Source organism: Homo sapiens, chromosome 1, assembly GCF_000001405.40.
Source record: "Homo sapiens chromosome 1, GRCh38.p14 Primary Assembly".
Classification (NCBI taxonomy): Eukaryota; Metazoa; Chordata; class Mammalia; order Primates; family Hominidae; genus Homo; species Homo sapiens.
This window is the reverse complement of record NC_000001.11, coordinates 199,059,838-199,083,207: the sequence shown is the minus strand read 5'-3', so window position 1 is coordinate 199,083,207 and position 23,370 is coordinate 199,059,838. Positions and strand designations below refer to the sequence as shown.

Below are 23,370 nucleotides of genomic sequence, written 5' to 3'. Positions count from 1 at the left end.
GGAGATAATCTTGAGGGACTGAGTTGGCAATGATCAGAATTCTGTAGGACTCGAGGCCAGGTATGAACAGTGGAAACTGAAAATGCCTTTGACCATGATGCCACGTATACATTGAAGACCTCCTTACATTCTCCTTTCCCCTGGGAAGAGGGGAGGTCAGCCACACTCAGCTCTAACAAAGTCCTTTTGAAGCAGTTGGAGCTGAGGCTGTGGCCACTGACCAGCCCTGGCTATGATGATCAAGCCTGTTTTAAATACGCTAGTGTCTTGGAATTCCTGGTTGTTGGAGGTAAAACAATGATGTCATAGACATATAAAGAAATATGATAAATATAAAACAGGAATGATATGATTCTGTTTTGTATAAGTAAAAAAATAAATTTAAATTATGCGTAGCAAAAGAGAATATTCTAATTAAGAAAAAATAAAAGAAAATGAGAAAAGAAGAAACTCAGAAACTATAGATTGGCTTGCAATATACATATCCAAGTTTCTGCTTGGTGCTTTTCAGTACATTATGTCATTTAGCCTCTTAATTGTTGTCATACCTTTAATCTAATTACTAAGCTGATTTTCAGCAAATAAAAAACTCAGAAAGGTTAAACAAATTGCCCAAAGTAATAGACAGATAGATAAATATCATATAAGAAACATAAAACAAAAGCTATGAGTATCAGAAATGAAAGAGGAAAGTTGACTTCAAATGTCAAAAAAAAAGAGATACTAGAATTATTATGAATCAAAGATACTCCCAAGACATAGGGTAAGGAAAGAGTGACTATGTAAATTTACAAAGAGAGATTGAATTTGAAATTGGAAAATAGTTGGCAGAATGTTGAGGGAAAAACATGAAAATTCAAGGTATGACTTTCTAGAACACATAAACAAGGACTTTTCAGAAAACTTAACTATTGGTGTCATCCTCAGAAAAGCACCAGTCCTCAGGCCCAAGACATAGATGCTACATATGGTATCCCTTAAAATGAAAGAATCCTAAAAGTGGTAGTTATCTCCTAGTTAAATTCTCCAGTGCTTTTATTGAAGATCTACCTGAAATCTTACCCATTTAACAACATTGCTATATTATTATCTCTTAATACTTATTTGTAAATGGAAATTGAAACATTTAGTCTTGAGTTTTGTCAAGTGTGGTGAAACTGGGAGTCTTATTACTTGTAAACATTTTAAAAATAGCTTGGGAGTGGGTTTGAAATTGTTAGGTATGCTTTGCTGACTGTTTTCTGGTTATTCCTCCTACTAATTTGGTGCCACTAATTGCTGTAGGCTTCTATTATTAAAATGTGGTTAGTGAAAAGGGTTATGAGTTATGTCCACATTTTGCCTTTGAGATTGTAGACAGTGAATCTCAGTAGATTATAAAGGGTAGTTTTAGTCATCTGGTGGCTGTCATAGTGAAGCTGTTTCTCATGACTTGCATACACATGTGGATAGACTTTTTTAAAGAATAAACTAAAATCCTGAAACAAAGTCATTTTCAAGGGTTTCAGAAAGGTTGGTAAAATGACAAGAGGGATAAGAATTTGGTAGCTAAACTCTTTCTCTGGTCTGAATACTCATTTTACTACTACTAACAAATTCTCCCTTACTTCCTGGTTCTTTATTTTTATTTGTCCATTATCTTATTTTCTCACTAGTCTGAAACCATTTAAAATGTTTTGTGGGCTGCATCATGCTTTCTACATAAGTATGTCATCAAATATGAGAAGAAGAATTCTGGAGATTAACAATAGAGTGGCAATGGCTTATTCTCTGAATCTATTTAAAAGGGAATGTTATGATCTATTTCAATGCACAAAATAATAAACAAAAATTGGAGCTTGTTTCAAAATCGGATTATAAAATTTAAAGACTGTGGAAGAAATGTCAAATGCATACAAGTTTTAAAATTCACAGCAAATGTATAGCTTCATTTTGAAAAGTGCAATGAATTGAGAATCTATACATGTTAAAATAATGAACAAATAACTTTTTCCAGGAGATGTCTAGAAAAATGTCCACTAAGTACAAGCTCAAAGTAACTATGTGAAAAAAAAAAGGAAAAGAAATACAATATAGTAGTTGGAAGAAATGAAAACCACCAATACTTTGGATGCCTTGGGTTCACTTCCTTTTCATATATTTGTTTTAAAATCAATCTGAGAGTATGGAAAAGTGTGCAAAGGCTTGATTTGGTGTTCAGAAGACAAAATCTCAGTGACATCAGAGACTACCACACACTTAGAGTGAGAATGATGAAGGGGCAGGAGGGAAAAATTCGGCTGCAATCAAAATGAACCAGCCACGGAGGCTGTACGTGTTTCTCAGATTTCAAGTAGTTCTAATCCTGAGGAGTAAGATGACGCCTAGACTAGTTGTATTGGTAAGTTCAGAATCACTCTACATTTATCATCCACACACCTGTACTTGCACAAGAAGAGTTCAAAGCTAAAAATTCTAGAGAACAGAAAATAATGAATGTTATGAAGAGGCAGGAAAATACCATGTTTTCTGCCACTATGTAAAGAATGGCTTAATTAATGACAGAAATTATCTTTAATTAATCATCTATTTCCTGTATTGCAGATTTCAGTTCTGTTTAAGTCTTCATGATATAGTGACTGAGGTTAATGCAAGAAGGTTACTTATGCTCAACTCCTTTCTTGCAGTAAAGTGATGAAAAGAGACGTGAGTCAATCACTGAGGATTTTTAAATGTTGATAAAATGGTTATTTGCATGTGATATTGAAATGCAGCAGTTTAACCATAAACTGAATATTCAAAACAAGGAGGCAATTGATCTGAGAACTCAGCAACATGCGTTGGTTATTTTCAGATTTCTACAATGTAATAGGGAAAATGTGTGACTGGTGTTAAAGACAGAATGATGAGGCCTCTGAGCATACAAATAATTGAAATGAGCAAGAGTCTTGTATCAAAAAATAGATGGAAATTTGACAGGTAAACACTAATGAAAATCTGGTTTATATGAAGACAATGTATTTGAGTTCTGCTGATTTGGCAAATAAGAAAGGTTAAATGGGGATACTTTTAGTTTTAGGCCATCTGATCCAGATAATGATCATTTTAAAAATCACAATGATCAACATTCCATAAACAAAAGGCAGCACTAGATCACTAGGTATATTAAAAAATGTAGAATTAGTTCAACTCAATATCACTACCTAAAAGGTAATCAAATAAAGTTAGAACTAATTTTTTACATTTAAATGAATATGTTATGAGCTAAGAGTGACAGAAAATTGAATAAGAAATAATTTTAAGACTATAAAATTGAATGAATTGTGTAATATTTAAAAGAGGGAGTGGCTTAAGCTGAAATTTAAGTGAGGAGTGAACTTCATTTTATTAGCAAATATTTTTAAAAGGCTATTACATGCGCTCAAGAAAATTAGTGATACCAAATGTTCAGTATCCCTAAGCATGTTTTTAGGTGAGAAGTTAATCTTTCAAAAACACTAATGATACTGATTTGCTTGTTAGCTTGCAGGAAGAAGATGAATAATATTCTTTTATCATTGTATTCCTAAGGGCTCATCCTTTTCACTGAGGAAATTAATTACCAGCACTCATAATATCCTGATAAAAAACCCATTTTCTTCTGGAATTTCTCGTTTTCTTTTCTTTTTTTTTTTTTTTTTGTAATAAAATGCAATGGTATTCTTCCAAATTGGGAAGTTGAAATGGGATGGTCATATGTTGAAATCACATTGAAAAATGAGGTGCCAGTAAACCCTACAGATGTCTGATGTCACAAAAATACCATGTTGGAAAGTAGAAATCGAAAGACAAAAGCATAGGTTTTATATGACGCCTTGTCCAATAACAGTAATAATGCTGGCATATGACACTTTCAACAGCACTGTTACCCCTCTTGAGAAAATCTAGGAGAAACAATTTTCTGAACATTTTCATTTCCTGAAACTATAGTAAAAGTTGAAAAGAAAAGATCCTGTATTTCTAATACTAGTAAGAAATTTAGACAGAGCAGAGTATTATGTTGATAAGGTCACAGAAATTGACTCAATCTATAAAAGTGGAAAGAAACTTTCTGAATATATTAGAACATCTTAAAAGTGAAGTTTATTCAGATGTAATTCATATGCATCAAAATTTATCTTTTAAAAAATATGCAGTTCAATTAGCTTTGACCAATGTTTACCGCAATCAAGATACAGAACATTTCTATTATCCCAAACATTGTATTATCCAATAAATACCCTGTTCTACCCTCACTATGGACAACCGATCTGTTTTCTGTTTGTAGAGTTTCCTACCAATTAGATTTTTCCAGAAGATCATATAAATGAAAGCACACTGCATGTAGCTTTTTGTTTTTTTTTCTTAGCATAATGCTTTTGAGACCCACCCGTGTTGTAACATGTATTAATAGGTTTATATCTCATTGCTGATTAGTATTCCCTTGTGTGGATATGCCAAAATTTGTTTATTTACACACCCACGGACAAAACTTGGGGTTACCATGAGTACAGTTGCTGTGAAGAATTGCTTATAGATCTTTGTCTAGACGCATAGTTGTATTTCTCTTTGGTAAATATGTAAGAGTGGAATTGTTTTGGTAAATATCTAGGAGTGAAATTTGTGTGTTTTTTTCAGTTGGGGATTATTATGAAAGATGTTGCTCTGAAAATTTGCTTAAATATTTTCGACTGGAAATATATTTTTATTTCTATTTGGTAAATATTTAGGATTGGAAATATCTAGATAAGTAAAAGTTTTAATTTATAAGAAACTGTTAAAAAGTTTGCAAAGTGTAGTTGTTCTGTGTTCCCGCCAGCACTTTTTTTGTTTTTGTTATTCTAGTAATTGTTCAGCATTTAATACTACACATTTCCCCAATTTAGCTTTGTCCTAAGAATTGTGATAGGTTGTATTTTCATATTTATTCAGTTCAAAACATTTTCTGATTTCCCTTGTGATTTTTTTGACCAATAAGTTACTTACAAATTTGTTGTTTAATTTCCAAATATGATACCCAAAGAGCATACTTTGTATAGTTTCAAATCTTTTAAATTTATTGATGTTTGCTTTATGGTTCAGAATATGATCTATATTGGTATTTGATCAACATGTACCTCAAAGAATGTGTGTTCTGCTGTTATTGGGTAGAGTGTTCAACAAATTTCATTCATGTCCAGTTGGTAATGGTGGTATATATATTTAACTTTACTGCCTTTTCCCCCCATCTTATATCAATTATTCAGAAAAGAGTGTGCCCTACAACCATAATTGTGGATTTGTCTATTTCTCCTTTCAGTTTTTATTTTGTATGTCTTTAAGTTAACAGTTACATACACATTAGGGTAGTTATATCTGTTCGATGGATTGATGTTTTTATCAGTATGTAATATGCCTGATTGCCATTGGTAGTATGTTTTGCTCTGAAATCTACTTTGTTGGATATTAAAATAGGAATTCCATCTTTCTTGTATTTGGTATTAGCATTGCATAGCTTTTTTGATCCATTTAACCTTTCTATATGTTTATATTAAAATGAATTTCCAACAGGAGATGTGTATATATAATATATAAATATATATAATATATATAATAAATAAATATATGATATATATGAATAGATATATACATACATATATATATATTACATTATATATATATATTTTTTTTTTGAGACGGAGTTTAGCTCTGTCACCAGGCTGGAGTTCAGTGGCACGATCTTGGCTGACTGCAACCTCCACCTCCCAGGTTCAAGCAATTCTTCTGCCTCAGCCTCCCGAGTAGCTGGGATTACAGGCACGCGCCGCCACACCCACCTAATTTTTGTATTTTTAGTAGAGACAGGATTTCACCTTGTTGACCAGGATGGTTTCAATCCTGTGATCTGCCCACCTCGGCCTCCCAAAGTGCTGGGATTACAGGTGTGAACCACTGCACCAGGCCTAGATTTTTTAATCCACTATGACAATATCTGTCTTTCAACTGAATGTAAATGCATCTAATGTAATTATTAAAATGTTTGAGTTTAAATCTCTTATCTTCCTGGTTGGTTTCCATTTGTCCCATCTCTCTCTCTCTTTTTTTTTTTTTTTTTTTTTTTTTTTGGTCTCTTGAAGAGAACAATTTGAAATAATTTAATAGTTTTTTTATTATTCAATTTTGTCTCCACTATTTATTTGTCTTATATCATATTTTGGTAATTGCTCTAAGATTTACTCTCTACATCTTTAACTTATCACAGCGTACAATCAAATAATAATACTCTACTTCACATACATTCTAGGAATCTTACAATAGTCTTTTGCTACTCCTTTTCTCCATATTGTAAACTCCTCAATACATTGTTACTAGTTTTGATTTAAAAAGTCAATTATTACTTAATGTTTTCAAAAATAAGAAAAATAAACTTCTTTTATACTTACCTACATTTTTATAATATCAAATGTCCTCAATTCCTTTGTGGAAATCCACATTTCCAATTGATACCATATTCCTTCATTTAACCATTTATTGTAGTTTTAATTTGCTACCAACAAAGTCTCTCGGTTTTTTAATATAAAAATATCTTTTGTTTTGTTTTGTTTTGGTGCTCAGTTTTGAAAGATTTTTATTTTGCTGAGTACAAAACTCCATGTTGATAGAAGTGGAGGGAGAAAGATGACCAGAGAAGCCTGCCAGTAATCAACACTGTGGAGAAACAGAAAGGGTGAACAAAGTTAACAGGATTTGTCAATTAAAACATCATTCATGCTCCACAGGACATTGGCTCTGTATTCTTCAGAATTAAGGAGAAAATATAGATAGTAGCTGTAGCTTATTTTTGCAAGAAGATTGGTATTAAAATTAGGAGGCAGAATAATAGACTGATAGGATAGGACAGGATAGGATAGGATAGGATAGAATTTAAACATGCACACACAAAACAAGCGCTAGTTGATAGAGAAAGTTTCAGAATCAAGTAGAGAGAATTGAATTTTGCAGTATTAGTTTTTTTTTGCTGTGGAACAAATTCTCACAGATGTAGCAAGTAAAAAAATCATTCCCCATTTATTAGCACCTTTCTATAGGTCAGAAGTCTGGAATAATGTGGTGGGGCTCCTTGCTCAAAGTATCACAAAGCTGAAATCAAGATTTCAGCTGGACTGACTTCTTATCTTCAGGGTCTTGGGCACAAACAGCCTCCAAGCCCATTCCTGTTCTTGGCTGAGTTCAGTTCCTTCCGGGTGATGTCCTCATTTCCTCGTTGGTTATTAGCCAGGGCCTGGTCCAGTTTCCAAGAGGCCACTGCACTTCTGGCCATGTGTCCTCCTCCATCTTTAAGCAAGCAATGGTGCTTTGAATCTCTGAAATGCTCTTTTGCAACTATCTGGAGGAACCTCTCTGCTTTTAAAGTAGCTATGTGATGAGGTCAGGCCCACAAGGATAATCTTAATGTCAATTGATTAAAACCTAAGACTTTTAATTATATCAGCAAAACCCCTTCACAGAGATACCGAGATTAGTATTTGATTGAATAACTGAGAGAAAATGTGTGTACACCAGGGACCAGGAATCTTGGGATTTCAGGGGATGGTGTATTAGAACTCGGCCTACTACACAGTACAAAAGGACCTGACCTAGTTAAAAATAGAGAAAGGGAGAAAGGTATTTCTTTCTCTACTTTGTATGTATGAGATAAGATATGTGATATTTTATTGCATAAAGAATAATGAAACATTAGGGATACTTTATGAAGAAAAGGAGGAAAGTTGATAAATTTAAACCACATGGAAAAATTAGCTGAATATTAGAAAGACAGGTAAAATTAATACTTTGAGGACTATACAATAGAGTAGGCAATCAACATAAGTTAGCATAGGAGTCCAGACTTCTCTGAAGACCTTTTGGAACCTGGCAAGGATGTAGCTATGAAGAAATTAGAGATTTACAATAGAGAACATTCAAGCAATTAAGGGATCCTTAGCTGTTAGAGAAGTTACAGTGAGTGGCTGAATATGTAGTTTAGAGTGATAAGTTGGTCAAGAGAAGACAGAAAAGCTCTGAAGTACAGGAAATTGTAGTGTTAAAAATAGGAAATATTATACATCCTAATGAAGAGAAAATAGTAAGTTCAGATATTAGAAATTAATACATGACAAAAAGCTAGAATGCTGATCTTGAATTTAGATCTAGAATCAAAACATTAAAAATACATTTCTTTTCATCAGATGATACAAGTTGATTGTAATGACAAAACATGACTATATGATGATGTGTGGCTAGAGATAAAGAACATTATAATATAATAATGGACATAATACATAATATAACATAATAATGTACATGACTGAGGAATTCTGAAGCCAGATGTATTAGTCAGGGTTCTCTGGAGGGACAGAACTAATATATCTCCTATTATATATATATAGGAGGAGCTGAGAAGCAAGGACAGCCAGTCTGAGTCCCAAAACTGAAGAACTGGGAGTCTGATGTTTGAAGGCAGGAAACATCCAGCATGGGAGAAAGATGTAGGCTTGTTTTTCTGCCTGCTTTATATTCTAGCTGCACTGGCAGCTGAGTAGATGGTGCCCACCCAGATTAACGGTGGGTCTGCCTTTCCCAGCCCACTGACTCAAATGTTAATCTCTTTTGGAAATACCCTTACAGACACACCCAGGATCAATACATTGCATCCTTCAATCCAATCAAGTTGACACTCAGTATTAACCATCACACTAGGATAATAGCTTTTATTTTTTATATTTTTAATGTGGTTTTGTTTTAATCTTTATCCTTATATATGCACATGCAAAGCTAGAAGAGTCAAGTAGTTTTTTCTTATAACAAAATAGAGAATTCATTGTGCCCTCTCTCTCTAATTTGCCTGTCTATAGAGGCAACTATTTTCAACTTTTTAGCTGATTTTTTTTGGCATTTACCTCCATACTTCAAATATCAGAATTATATTGTTATGTCTTGACTTTTTGTTCAATTCTTAGGTATTCTCTACTTATTTTCTCCTATAAAGAAATGAGGTTTAGCACTGTTTTACTCTCATACACTCAGCTCTTACCACAAATGTATACCTCTTTTCTTTTTCTCTCTGCATCTCTCTTTCTCTTTTTCTCTCTCTTTCACACACACACACACACACACACACACACTCACACTCAATCTTCCCCATGTTATCAATATAGTTATAAGTTTTATTACATCCATGTTTACACAATTATGTGTATGTAAATGCTATTCTAAGCTATTTTGCATACTAAAACTATTTCTCCTTTCTTAATCAAATTCTTCACCCTCTGGAGTTAAAAATTACCTGATTTTTGCATACTTTTTTTTTTATCATGTACTTAACACTAAGTCAAATCTAAGCTTTTCACCGATTGTCAAAATCTCGTTTTAAAATGCAACATTTAATTGATAAAATATATCTTTTGAAGACATCTCTTCTGAGGACTTCTAACCTGCCCCATTCTGGACTGATTTTCCTTTATGCCTGCTATACATCTATCTTTGTGGAATTTTCATGTTGCCATGACCCGAAAGATGCTCTTTACTTTTTCTATATTTTCTATATTCCATGCTTCCATCTTTGTTGGTACATAACCTTATTTTAATGAAGCTCATTTAGGGTAGTTTCTTGATAAAATTACCTAGTAGATTATTTTACAAACATTGAACATCTCTACCATAGTACTGATTTATGATTTGGCTGAGTATCAAACCCTAGGTTTTAAATAATTTTCCCTTAAAATCTTGTAGACAATGCTTCATTGTCTGTAGTTTCCAGTGTTGTTCATAAACAGCCTGAAGCCTTTCTAACTCCTGAGACTTTTCATGTGATTCATTTTTGTTCCCTCCCTGGAAGTCATAAAATCTTATCTTTGCCCTCAGGGTTCTACAGTTTCATGTTGATGTACCTTGATATGGGTCCATTTTGCTGAGTCTATTTTGCTGAGCGCAGAGTGGGGCTTTTACTCTCACAACCCAAGTCCTTCAATTGTAAGAAATAGTCTCAGTTATTTAGTTGATAGTTTTCTCTCTTCAGTTTTTATTATTCTCTCTCTGGCACTTCTGTTACCTGGATGTTATACTTCCTTTAGTTTTTCTTTCATTTTCTTATATTCTTTTCACTTAATTTTCCTTTCTTCTGTTTTAATTTTATATTTCTGTGCTTTGAAGGAGATTTTCTCACCTTTATATTTGGATATTGCAATAGAATTTTTTAAAATTTTGCTGAATTCTTTTTTCATAAAAATGTCTTATTTCTCTAAGCATATCAATAAAATTCTTTTTTCATGCATAGTCCCAATTTCCAAAATTTCTTATTTTTTCTCTGTATATTTTGATCCTTTTTTTTTTAACTTGGAAGTTCACAGATGGCTGGTGATCCTTGGGTGTCTGCTAATATTTAAAAGTAGGGCATTTAAAAGTTGCCTTGGAATATTGAGCCCCCAAATGAAGCTTGTAACTGTAATCTTCGCTATAGGTTATGCCACTGTCTTAAAAAAAAGTGTATTTATGTTTTTTCTCTTGGCTAAGTAGATTCTCCATATAATGATCTTTCAATAGCCTAGAGGTTATAATCTTGGCTGCTGTCATTTCTGGAAGACATGTTGGGGAGAGAGCTAGGGGATCAATATTCAGTATTATAAATGTTAATTTAATTATCCTATGTTCAACAGAATCCCCTACCTTCAAATGTCTCCCAGATTAGAAACCTATCTTGCCCACCTCCAGTCTTTTTTTGGTACAAAATAAAATAAATCCTTTGGAGGTATGCAATGATTGAGAAGACCTGAGGTTCTCATTGTTTCTTTGTTCTTTTTTAAATTGCTTTTTTACTCATTGATTTTATTGAGGAATAACAGGCATGCAATAAATCTTCTATTGAAAGTATACAACCCAATAAATTTTGATAGTATATTTGCTCATGACCACACAACCACAATCAATATACAGAATATATCCATCACCCGCAAAATATTCCTCACATCCCTTGAAGTCAATTCTTACTTTAGTCCTTACCCCAGGCAACTACTATAGACAATTTTGCAATTTATATAAATGTAATACAGCTTGTAATCTTTTGTGTCTTGCTTCTTTCAGAATAATGATTTTGAGACTTATCCATGTTGTTGTGCTTACAATGATTTGCTTCTTTTATTACTGAATATTATTCCATGGTATAAATGTACGTCCTTTATTTTATTCATTTAACTATAAGTGGACTCTTGAGGTGTTTCTAATTTTTGACCATTTCAAATGAAGCTGTTGTGAACATTTGTTTATAAATATTTATGTGGACATATGCTTTTGTTTCCATTCCATAAATACTAGATGTGTAAGATTACATTTCTAAGAAACTATCAGTTTTTCAAAGTGATTGGACCATTTTATAGGTACTCCACATCCTTGTCAACACCTGTTATTATCCATGTTTATAATTTTAGCCATCCTAATGGGTGTATGGTTTTAACTGTTGCTTAAAGTTTCCAACTACTCATCCTTGTTTTAATCCACCTTGCCCTCATTTCCATCAGAAAACTGGCACTACAAATTGTTAATTTTTTAATGGTATTCTATGTATAGATAAGGTTGTTTCTTGGATTTTTGCCATGAGTTAAGAGTTCAGTCTTTCCCAGATTGCTAAATCAGTTACTATCTGTTCATATGCTTTCTGTCTCCCAAAGTACAGTTGTGATGGTGTCTACTCTACTTATCTTTGTCCTATATGTGTTCACATTGAAAAATCCCCTTATTTTTATCTTAGTGGGATTCTTGACAGGAATATAAAAACAGGTTGTATTTAATTCATCATCTTCATCCCTCTGGTATTTAACAGGTATATTTAACATTTAAAATTGTTGTCAGAGCACAGACAAGGTTAGAGGTAAAACAATTAATTAGATGTTAAGATAAATACTATGCAAATAATTAAAGAAATGATGATGTAATGCAAATAATGAAATGATGGTGTAAGATACATAAGTGTATATTCAAAAAGGTGTACATATTAAAAGGGAGTCCTTTTTAAAAATTGTTATTATGTTGGCGTGATCGTTTGACAGGGCCTTGAGGAAAAATAAGGGGTTAATATGTCCTATTTTTCAGAGATCTGGGGGAAGTAGTAGGAGAATAAATTTATTGGAGAGAGATATAGAAAATATAAGGTACCTCACTAAAGTAGGAGAAGGACTACACTTACATTGAGGCATTTTGATTTTGTTTTAAACATTGAGTGCGTTGTTGCAATAACAGCTCCTCAAGGTGTCATATTTGATATGAAATATACATTCAGATATTTTTGGGGGTCTTATTCAAAGTTTTCATGGAATAGAAAAATAAAATTTAAATGATTTGGATGATCTTGTTCACCATTCTATGCTTTCAATGTATTATCTTGAATGAGTGACATCAAAGATATACATTTTGTTTTCACATTATTCTTTGATGTGTCACATTATTTGTCAGTGTATTGCCACACTGGAATTTAAGTGTTATAGGAACGATGTTTTCTTATACAATAGAATTATTAATGAAAAAATTCAATTACTTTAACATATGGTTCAATAGGAATATTAATGAGAAAATTCAATTACTTTAACATACTGTTCAATTAAAGGAAGAGTTATATTCCATCGCTAAGGGAATATAACAAATAATACATTTTTTCTACAACATAATCTCCTCTAAAGCGTTTTGAAACATAATTCTGAACTATCATTTATCTGGAGAAGTATAACCAGAATGAAGATATCCTAGAAAAAAAATGCAATAGAGAAAAGTTTAAAAGAATCAGGATTGTTGAACCTTGAATAAATATTTAGGATGGGCATAATAAATCTATTAGATTACTTTACTCCAAAGGTTCTTATGTGAAAGCTGAGATAGATATATTCAGTGTACATACAGATAATAAATAATCTTTTTATAGGATGTAATATTCTGAATTGGGAGGGATGCTGATTATTGGAGCTCTTTCTAACTCTCGAAGAGCTTACTGGTTAAGCTCATAGCATTATAGTCACATTCAGAACAAAGTATCTAGTCTGCAAGCTTAATTATACAGCATAAATGCTGGCCTTTGAAAGGTCAGTTAAGCTACCTGCGTTTGAGAATGGCTATTTGAAGAAATGAATCAATAAATCAAGGAAGCAGAAATGTAAAATGTATGTTACAATTTTCTGATAGTTAAAATTGCTAGCTGTCAAAGTTTAGTCCTTCATATATTTTTAAATATCTATGATTAGAAATTAAGCTAAACAAGCCTAAATTACTCATTATATTTTACATTTGATATGTGGAAAAACCCATCACAGTTTTGAAGTAACATTATATAGAAAGGGTTAAATTCTAAGCTATTTATGTACAAGGCTAATTCTTACCAGGTATTTACTGATGTAAAGCTAGAATGATATAGCTTAATCTTACATCCAGTTAAACCATATCACAAACTAGAAAGATTAAAGTGCATTGGGTAGCCACTTCTTATAATGGTCTCCAAAGAAACTACTATAGATAAACAAAGCTAAGATTTTAAAATACGCACTTGATAAACAACCTAGCATTCACTTTTATCTGCTTTATCAAAGTTGCTGTTTTAAAAAGGGGGAAAAAAACCCTAGTTTCTTTTTTTAACAAATGTCCAAATGCAACTGAAGAAGTTGGTAGGAACATTTTAAAGTTAATTTTTTTAACCTTTTACAGAAAGTTCCGAGTGGCAAGATGCAGTCAATATATCCAACTAAGGATTTTTAACTACTGTTAAATAATACAGTTTTTGCTTCTGTGTTTTTAATGGCTTTAAATTTATTTTCCAGTGTTTAGGCAATAAATCTATAATTTAAATGATAATTGTATTTCTGTAAAACTAGATAGCAAAAATAAGAGTGGTGAGAAATACAATAAATCAAGCCATCAGATTGACATGGTATAATGTGAAGAGTTGCGTGAGACAAAGCAATATCTTCTTTGGGAGAAATTTCGAATGGAGCAGTTAAGACATGTGGTCTTACCTAGACAATAGGTCAAATAAACTAGCTACAGTCTTCCTTGTTTGTAAAAATAATGACATACATCAACAGTAGACCAGCAGTAAGGGTTTCCTGTTTTCCTTCCAAACTGTTGACTGTTAAAAACACACCTGTAATATAGCTTGCTATTTCTGCATTCACTTGTTGTCCATTGAACTTAATATATTAAAATTTCCCAGTTATGATTAAAGATAAAACACTCTAACATTTTATTTCAGAAAATGATTCAGGGATTAATATGTATATTTCATTGTTGGTTCTGCCCTTAGTCTATGCAGCTATCAGATTTATGTTGCTTCCATAACGGAGACCATTCTGCAACCCGAAGATCATTTACTTGATAAAATTCACATTGCTACTCACCAAATACTATAACTAGATAAGCATGCACTAAGCCACCCAGCACCCAGATGAATTAAATTTATGTTGCACTATTTGTAAAAATTAAATCACAGCTTTTTAGTGATCTGTGAAATTCTACATTTGAGAGCATTTCTGAAATGCTATACCAAGGCTTGAAATATTTACATACTAAAGAATCTATTTCAAACCCAGAACAAAATGATTAACATGTTACATGGAAATAAAGAGGTAGCAATGGAACTTTATAATACAGACAGTGCCTGAAAATTTATTCTTTTTTTAGACCAAATTAAGTGGTGAGTACCTATATAATTTTTTTTCTTGATTGACTGTAAGGCAAAAAAAATCTATCTCAATTTAAAGCTACTTGTTTATAGCAAGTAGCATATCTATTAAAGTACTATTCTGAGTTTCATATGGACCTGTTATCTGTATCCTGTAACATGACAACTCAGTATAAACATACCTTCAAAATGCAGTCCAAGTGTACAAAGATTATTCACCTGATCATGGCTGAAGTAGAGGTGGTTAGGTAATGATTTGGCTGCAAAAGTAGCCAAAAGCATTTTTAAGAACGCAACTAGTCAAATGCTCCTGTAAACTTTTAGAAAGACAAGAATGTTGAAATTATTAATTAAAATGAAAATGTCAAGCTTATGTGTTTATATAAATGTTTGAAATAATTTTATTTTCTTAATAGTTTATGCATCTGTAATGAATTGACTTTCATTTTGTTTAAAATGTTTTTGTTTTATTGAACAAATGTTCAGGGATTTTTTTTTAGTTAATGAAACATATAATCTTTTTGGAAATTAATTTTGAGAAATACCCTATGTGTTAGCCAGTTTTATGATCTTGAAGCAATCATTTCACCTTAGGATTTGAGGGAAGCTTACTTTTCCCATCCACTAACTGAGGAGATTGGACAGATGATTTCTAAGTCTTTCCAAATATTACATAAGCTTGGATTTGCAAAGTGCATATAACATTTAATTTAAAAAGGTAGTGTTTGTTAGGAAAAACTACAAACTGAATGATGATTAAAGTTTCATTTTATCAAGGACTATTCAAGGAGGCAGAAACATCGAAAAGAGTGGAATGGAGGAGACGCTGATTAAAAAATAAAGACATTACCTCATCACTTTTTCAAAACTGAAACCCTTCACCACCAAAAATATCATGAAGACTGAAATTGAAAATCTAAACATAAACTGAAACAATAGCATAGCAACAGAAGATAATATGCTTTCTATTTCAGAAAAAAATGATTATTTAAAGAAAAATCAAAATACTCTCCAGAATAGATGTATAAATAATTTACCATTCTAAATATAATGGATTATAGTCTCTAGAGTGTTTGTAAATACAGCTATCACTCATTATAAATGAACATAAGCTACAGAAAATTGAAACTTAAAAAACTAAAAAAAGGAACTAATGTGTTTTAAATCATGTGAAATCATGAAATTAAGAAATTTTAAAGATGTAGTACATTATATGCTAGAGCATAGTACTCCTTAGTGAAATAGTCAAATAGAGAGAGAGAGAGAGAGAGCACGAGAGAGAAAACTTCTTAAGATCAAGGAGTATCCAGTGATGGATGGCATGCCTGTGATCCCATGGATGGAAAAGAGACATTTGAAATGCCAGTGTTAGAAAAGATGGTACGTGTTTTCAGAAATGCTTTTAAGTGTGGCAATTTTAGCAAAGAAAAAAATTGAGTTATTATTGTAGGATCTACACATAGTAGGATGAGAATTATTATTATTTTATCATAAAATATTTAACTTTTTCATTATAGTTTTCAAATAGGCTTTGAGAAAATTATTTTTTCCTGTGTTTGGGTAGTTAGCCTTCTCCATAAAAATAATTATAGCTTTAACAATTTCGTTGGACTAAACACACAAAAACACTGCAAAATCTGCCCAAAAATAGTCTAAGTCAAATTTCTCTTAGAAATAAATTGGTTGTTTCCATGTGGAGAATTCCAGAGAGTGTGCAGCATATGGTGAACAGATTCTATAATTTGGATTGAAAGACCTTCAGTGCAATACATATTAAAAGATCATAGAATTGTAATATGTTCAATTTCATCAGAGTCCTTAATTTTGGTTGATTCTCACCCTCTATACCTCTCTCTCCTACTACTACTGATCACCCAACCAATGGTGGATATTAGGAGGCCATGACAAGTGACGTAATTTAAAACAGGCCCAAGTGTTTCAGTGTGACCTAACTAAAGCCATTTGCTGATAAACTACTTGGTATTTGGGAAAAGTGACTTGTGAATTACTGTTCAGGGGAAGACTTTCTGTTCACATACATTTAACGTAGCCCACTACTATGTTAGCTTTTGCATTATTGTCTCCAAAGTATGACAAAAGCATATTTAGAGGACTCCCCATCTTCAACCAATTTTCAGTGTAGCCTCCATTTTCCAAGCTTACATTGACATTACCTATTAAAATAACTTCAAGCACACATATATCTTAAAAAGCCATCTTCCCTGAGGCTGCACTATGATGATCAACAGCAATTGCCTTGTTAGGAAAGACAATTTTATCAGTGTATTTTGAGTCATTCTGCCTAAAGTGAAAATTACATTGAGCAAAAAATCCACTAAAATTGTATATTTTGCATTGTTATGACAAGAACTTAAAATATTTCACCTAAAATCTTAGTGAAGTGCTTCAAAACAAATGTCATTAGATATTTTTCTCACTTTCAGTTTTAAATAGACAGATGATTTTCTATGTAATGTTTTAATATTTAAGCTATGGTGTTTACATAGATCACTAATAAAATACCCATCAAGTACTTACTGGTTCTTTGAAGAGAGAGAGAGAAAAAAAAAGAGGACTTAGTGTTCTTTCTTTTAAGTAGTAAAGTTAAATATAGCCCCAACAGAAAGTCTAGGAACACCTAACATAAGCTAATGTTTTTATTTACACCCCTTTCCAAAGAACAGCAATATATCAGTCTTTTACAAATAATCTATTTATTCATTTAAAAATATACTCTGAGTACCCGCTATGTGCCAGGGATTTTTTTTCTTATTTCAATTTCAAGCTTCTCATCAACTATTTTGATATTCGTGCCTATTTTACCAGGATTTAAAATTTTACTATCTTAAATATTTTTGTTATTATACTGTTTATAACAAATATACTTTTATAAGCTAAATGTGTAATCAAAAGAATCAGAAGACTCTGCTGTTAAAATTTAATCATTTTTCTTGTTAATCTCCTGTAATATCTCTCATAAAAGATACTTCTTCTGTTCTGAAATCCTCACTACATACAATTCTTATTTTCATTGTAAGAAAAAAAATTCTCAGCTTTTACCTCCAATTAACTGTTAACTTACTACAACCTTACTTTCCCACTTTTCCACTGAAACTCCTCTTAATGTCATCAATAGCTACCATTTTGCCAAATGCTAAGGACTTTACTCTGTCTCTATCTTTAAAGTTTCAGCAGCCTTTAACAAAGGAGATCCCATTTCTTTTCTGAAATACTTCTCTCTGTTGGCTTCCATGATGCCAATATCTTCTGTTTCTTTCTTTCGTCACTAGCTACTCCTGCTCCTCACTTTTGCCTCTCTTCTTCTACCCACAACCTACATGTTAGAGTAACTTAGAGCCAAGTGCCATGCCCCCTCCTCCTTTCTGGCTATGCCATTTCCTGGATGATCTCATCTAGTTGGCTGGCTAAAATAATACTTATATCAGTGGATCTCATTCCTATTGGATCTAAGGCCTTCTGTTATATAAAATATTTTATTACACTGCCATCTTTACTATCCCCACATAAAATTTACAAATACTGTAAATTACTTAGAGACATGATTAGAAAAAAAGTCAATATAGCAGCCTAACTCAAAGAAAAAATAAAAGGAAATTAATTTACAATAAAATAATATGATTTAACATGTAAATTTTTAGAAATGTCTTTATTAGTAGACATACCCATAGGTAATGTTTGTACCTATTTATAATGAATGTATAAGTGAGACAATCAAAAGCCATTATATACAAGAAGCAAACAAATATAAAAAAAGGTGCAGAGAGGTAGAAATGGGCTTGAGAATAAAATCTAGTTTAGAATGTTATAATAAATACAATTCAATTGTATATGGGAAGAAAATAACTATAATGGGAATAAGAAAAGTGGCCAAGGTAAATTTCAGACCGTTGAAGTGGAACCAATAAGAAAGTTTGATATTCTCTTAAGGAACTTTTTTCTTAGTACCAAAATAATTCCTATGTTATTGCATGGTATGAAGTAGTGATAAAGTATCTCAAAATTTCAAACATACTTTCTCTCTTAAAATTCTACCACAAATGGAAGCCTACATTTAGTCTCTGGTACTTAAGGAGACACAGGACTCTACTTCAATGGGCAACAGGGACTAGAGTATAGATAGAAAGAGAAGCAGAAATATAAGAGGATATAGAGAAGTTGTGTTACACCTCTGGGGACAGAACGTCTGAGAAACAATAGGCAGCCCCAAGACAAATATAACATTTCCATGTTATTTTCACTTTAGTCATTTCTTATCTTGGCAGTGATATATCTTTTTAAAGTTTTATTAATGACATTCCTTAATACATCTGCACTATTTTAATTAACATTTGGTTCTGAGTCTGTTGCAAGGGGTTTCATCTGTTACATCAGGGCTACATTACAGCACTAAAACTACTGATTTTTAATAGCTGCATTACAGCACTGAAATGTGTTACCACTAAATATATGGTTGGAAATGCAAGAATACATCAAGTACGAGACAGATAAACAGAGTACACAAATTTATTTCATGATTTTAAGACAATATATTTGCTTTCCTTCTCCTTAACTATCTTTTTTATAAGTTATTGGGCTTCTTATGTAACTGCTTGCTGAATAAAAAAGAATTATCATGCAATTAACTACTACCAATTTATCTTTACAAGGTATTCAGTTGGAGAGAACATTGAAATATTGTGTAGGACATGGGCCGATAATTTGTTTTTCCAAATTTTTGTACACCACGGCTGGTCATCTAGCATTCTCAGCCACTGACAGCCAAATGTCAATAGAACCCCCCAAATCATTGTGACGTCTAAGTAATGCCCACATACAATTTCCAAACATTCCAGGATGGCAATGCAGTGTTCACTATGAACCACAGATCTCTATGTGGACAACCTTGTGCCCAAACCAGACTCATATCCAACTGCCTACTTGACAAATACCTAGTTGTTTTATCTGATAATTTCCTTTCCATACCCCCAACATCTAATCTGCAACACATCCTATTCACTTTATTTCCAACAGATATTTTAAATACATTCAATTCTTTCTATTTCCACTATCACTTCTCTAGTCCAAGTCTTGATTAGTTCTCCCTTCGACCGATGTGGTAGTCTACTAATTGTTTTTTAGTAGTCCATTGTTTATCCTTATTTCAAATACAACCACCAGTATAAACATTTTAAGACATACATCAGATCATACTACTCCTTCATGTAAAATCCTTCAATGAATTCCTAATGTGCTAGATTAAATCTTAAGTTTTCCTATGGTTTGTAAGGTTTTTGATGACTCCATTCTATTTCCTTGATTTCACTACATGAATTCTTCCTTTGCTCATTCTGTTTCAGGTACACTGGGCCACTTTGTGTTTTTTCATGCAAACTGTTTTTGCACCAGGGTATCATTTTTCTTTTCCAAGAATGCCCATTACCACAGTTTCTATTTGGTGTGCTCATTTTAATTCTACTGGTCTCAGTCCAAATGTTACCTTCTCTGACCTATTTTCCCTAATCATACCATCTAATTGGATTCTCTTGATTATTTGATATCTTTCTTTCCAAGTGTTCATTATATTGTCATTATTTGTGTACTCTTGTGTTTCCATGCTTTTTATTTTTCTTTCATACCAGAAAACATGTTCCACAAAAGCAGGAAACTTGTCTCTCTTGTGCTTCACCATATCCCCAGATTTTAGCAAATGGCAGAGCATCAATAAAAATGTGTTAAATTAATAAAACATTTAAAAAATCCATCTATAAATCATATAGCAAAAAGTATTCTAAATTCTCCAAAATATGGTGTCTTTTAAATTTGTTTGATTAAAGCTTTAAAAGAGAAAACCATTTCTTTCTTCTAATATTGATACTGAGAAGAAAACTAAAGTTGGCATTGACATTGAAACTAAATTTGGATTGACATTATGATCTTTTAGTGATGTATAAATCAGGCAGTAAGTTGGCTCAGAGATAACTCAAGGGTCCTACCTGTACATTGTCTCCTAATAATATAACTTCCATTTTGCCTACTGGGAATTATAATTCTATAAAAGACTGATTGATAATTTATCAAACAAGGCCTTGAAATGGGGAAGGAAGAATGGAAGTAAGTACTTTCCAATGAAATCTAGTACCTTTCCTAACTTGAACCACAGACTACAATTCTACATATGCCTCAGGCATCGTGAAGTAAATGAGAGAAGAAGAGTGTAAGAAATGTATAGGGGGAGTGTGACAAATCAGAAAGGAAAGGCAATGATATGTGAATTTATACACTGAGCAGACATGGGGGAAAAGATTTAATATAACCAACAAATTTAAAACACTTAAAAATGACTTCAATCATATTGTCAACACTTTTTAAAAATTTTATTTTATTTTAATTTTTAAATGGATTTTATTTTTCAAAACAGTTTTAGAATTACAGCAAACCTTTGCAGAAAATGCACAGTTCCTGTATACCCTCAGCACATATGCACGGTCCCTACCACTATTAACATCTTGCACCAGAGCAGTATATTTGTTACCATCAATGAGCCTACATTCACACATCATTATTACCCAATGTCATTATGTTGGGGTTCACTGTCGGTATTGTACATTCTATTGGTTTTAACATATATATATAACAGTATGTATGCATCCACCATTATAGTATTATACGGAATAGTTTCACTGACCTAAAAATCCTTTGTACTCCACCTATTCATCCTTCCCTCTACCCTAATTTCTGACTACTGTTGATCTTTTCACTGTTTACATAACTTTGCCTTTTTCAGAATGTCATATAGCTGGAATTATATAGTACACAGCCTTTTCAGATTAGCTTCTTTACCTTGGTAATATGCATCTAATGTTCCTTTGTGTCTTTTTAGATGGCTTCATATGTCATTTCATTTTAGCACTGAACAATATTCCACTGTCTGAATCAAAGGATATGTGTCCATTGACCTCCTGAAGGGCATCTTGCTTCCTTCCAACTTTTGGTAATTATGAATAAAGCTGCTATAAGCATCCATATACAGGTTTTTATGTGGACATACATTTTCAGTTCATTTGGGTAAATACCAAGGAGCATGATTGCTGGGTCATATGGTAAGAGTGTGTTGAGTTTTGTAAGAAACTCCCAAACTGTCTTCTAAAGTGACTGTACCATTTTGCACTCTCACCAGCAATCAATGTCTGTTGCTTCATGTCCTCACCAATATTTGGTGTTATCAGTGTTTAGGATTTTTGCCATTCCAATTCTATTAGATGTGTATAATATCTCATTGTTGTTTTAATTTTAAAATTACTGATGATATATGATGTTGAGCATCTTTTCATATGCTTATTTTCCATGTGTATATTTTCTTTGGTGAGGTGTCTGTTCAGGTTTTTTTGCCCATTTTTTAATCTAGCTGTTCATTTTTGATTGTTGCATTTTGAGATTTATTTGTATATTTTAGATAACCATCTTTTATTAGGAAAAAAAAGTCAATGTTTCTTTTGGATATGTCTTTTGCAAATATTTTCTCCCAAACTGTAAGAAATCTTCTCATTCTCTTGACAGTGTCTTCTGGAGAACAGAAAATTTTAATTTCAGTGGAGTCCAACTTATCAATTATTTCTTTCATGGATTCTGCTTTTGATATTATATCTGTAAAGTCATTGCTATACCCAACATCATGTAGATTTTCTCCTGTTATATTCTAAAAGTTTCATAGTTTTGAATTTTACATTTAGGTGTATGATCCACTTTGAGTTAATTTTTATGAAGGGTGTAAGGTCTGTGTCTAGATTTAATCATTTCTGTGTAGATGTCCAATTGTTGGACACCATTTGTTGAACAGATTATTTTTTCTCCATTATGTTGCTTTTGCTCCTTTGTTGAAGGTCAGTTGACTATATAAATATGAGTCTGTTTCTGGGCTTTTTATTCTGTTCCATTGATCTATTTGTCTATTTTTCCATCAATATCACACTGCTTTGATTATAATGGCTTTATAGTAAGTGTTGGAGTTGGGTAGTGTCAGTCCTCCAACTTTGTTCTTCTCCTTCAATATTGTGTTGGCTGTTCTGGGTCTTTTCTGTCTCCATATCAACTTTAGTAACCAATGTTTTATTTTAAAACTACACCTTCAGATCTCGTAACACTAGATGTATGTATGTCAACATACATTACATAAGTATATGATAGACATACTCTCAAAATTACTGTGAAATAGGTTTTAATCAATGGTATTTATTTTAAACATCAAGACAAATGACTTCTGAGTGGAAGTGCTCAATAAATACAAAACTATCATAATCATTGCCATCATCATTATTATTAAGAGCAACAATCTTTTCCGCAGAGGTTGGAAACTCTGGTTAGGTGACTTGCCCAATATCAGAGCTGGCAAGTGTTTAAGAGGATTCAAATCCAAGTCGATTGACTTCAAGCTTAGTGTTATTTCCACTCCTGCGTGCTATGAATGTTGAGGCAGTAAATGCACTCTTAAATCATTTTTCCCATTTTTTTAACCAGATAAAACTTCTATGACACCATGTAGAAAACAGTAGAAAATAGACTTTGCAATTAACTGAAACCTAGCTCCTAAGGGTTACATTATGTAGTCCTATCCTTTCCCAAGTGTATAGAACTTTTTATCCTGCAGAAAATTTAAAGAAAGTATGGCCTAAATAATATTATCATCTAGTTGGGATATTATTTCC

At 32.3% G+C, this 23,370-nt stretch overlaps 1 long non-coding RNA gene across 1 annotated transcript in view; it reads right to left on the bottom strand.

The window, feature by feature from the left end:
* Positions 1–6,472: 6,472 nt before the first annotated feature.
* The window catches only part of LINC01221 (long intergenic non-protein coding RNA 1221), a 60,603-nt gene continuing 43,705 nt past the window's right edge, over positions 6,473–23,370 (bottom strand). The window contains exon 3 of the long non-coding RNA NR_126351.1: positions 6,473–6,684. This is a non-coding gene — a long non-coding RNA (long intergenic non-protein coding RNA 1221). The remainder of the gene's footprint in view (positions 6,685–23,370) is intronic.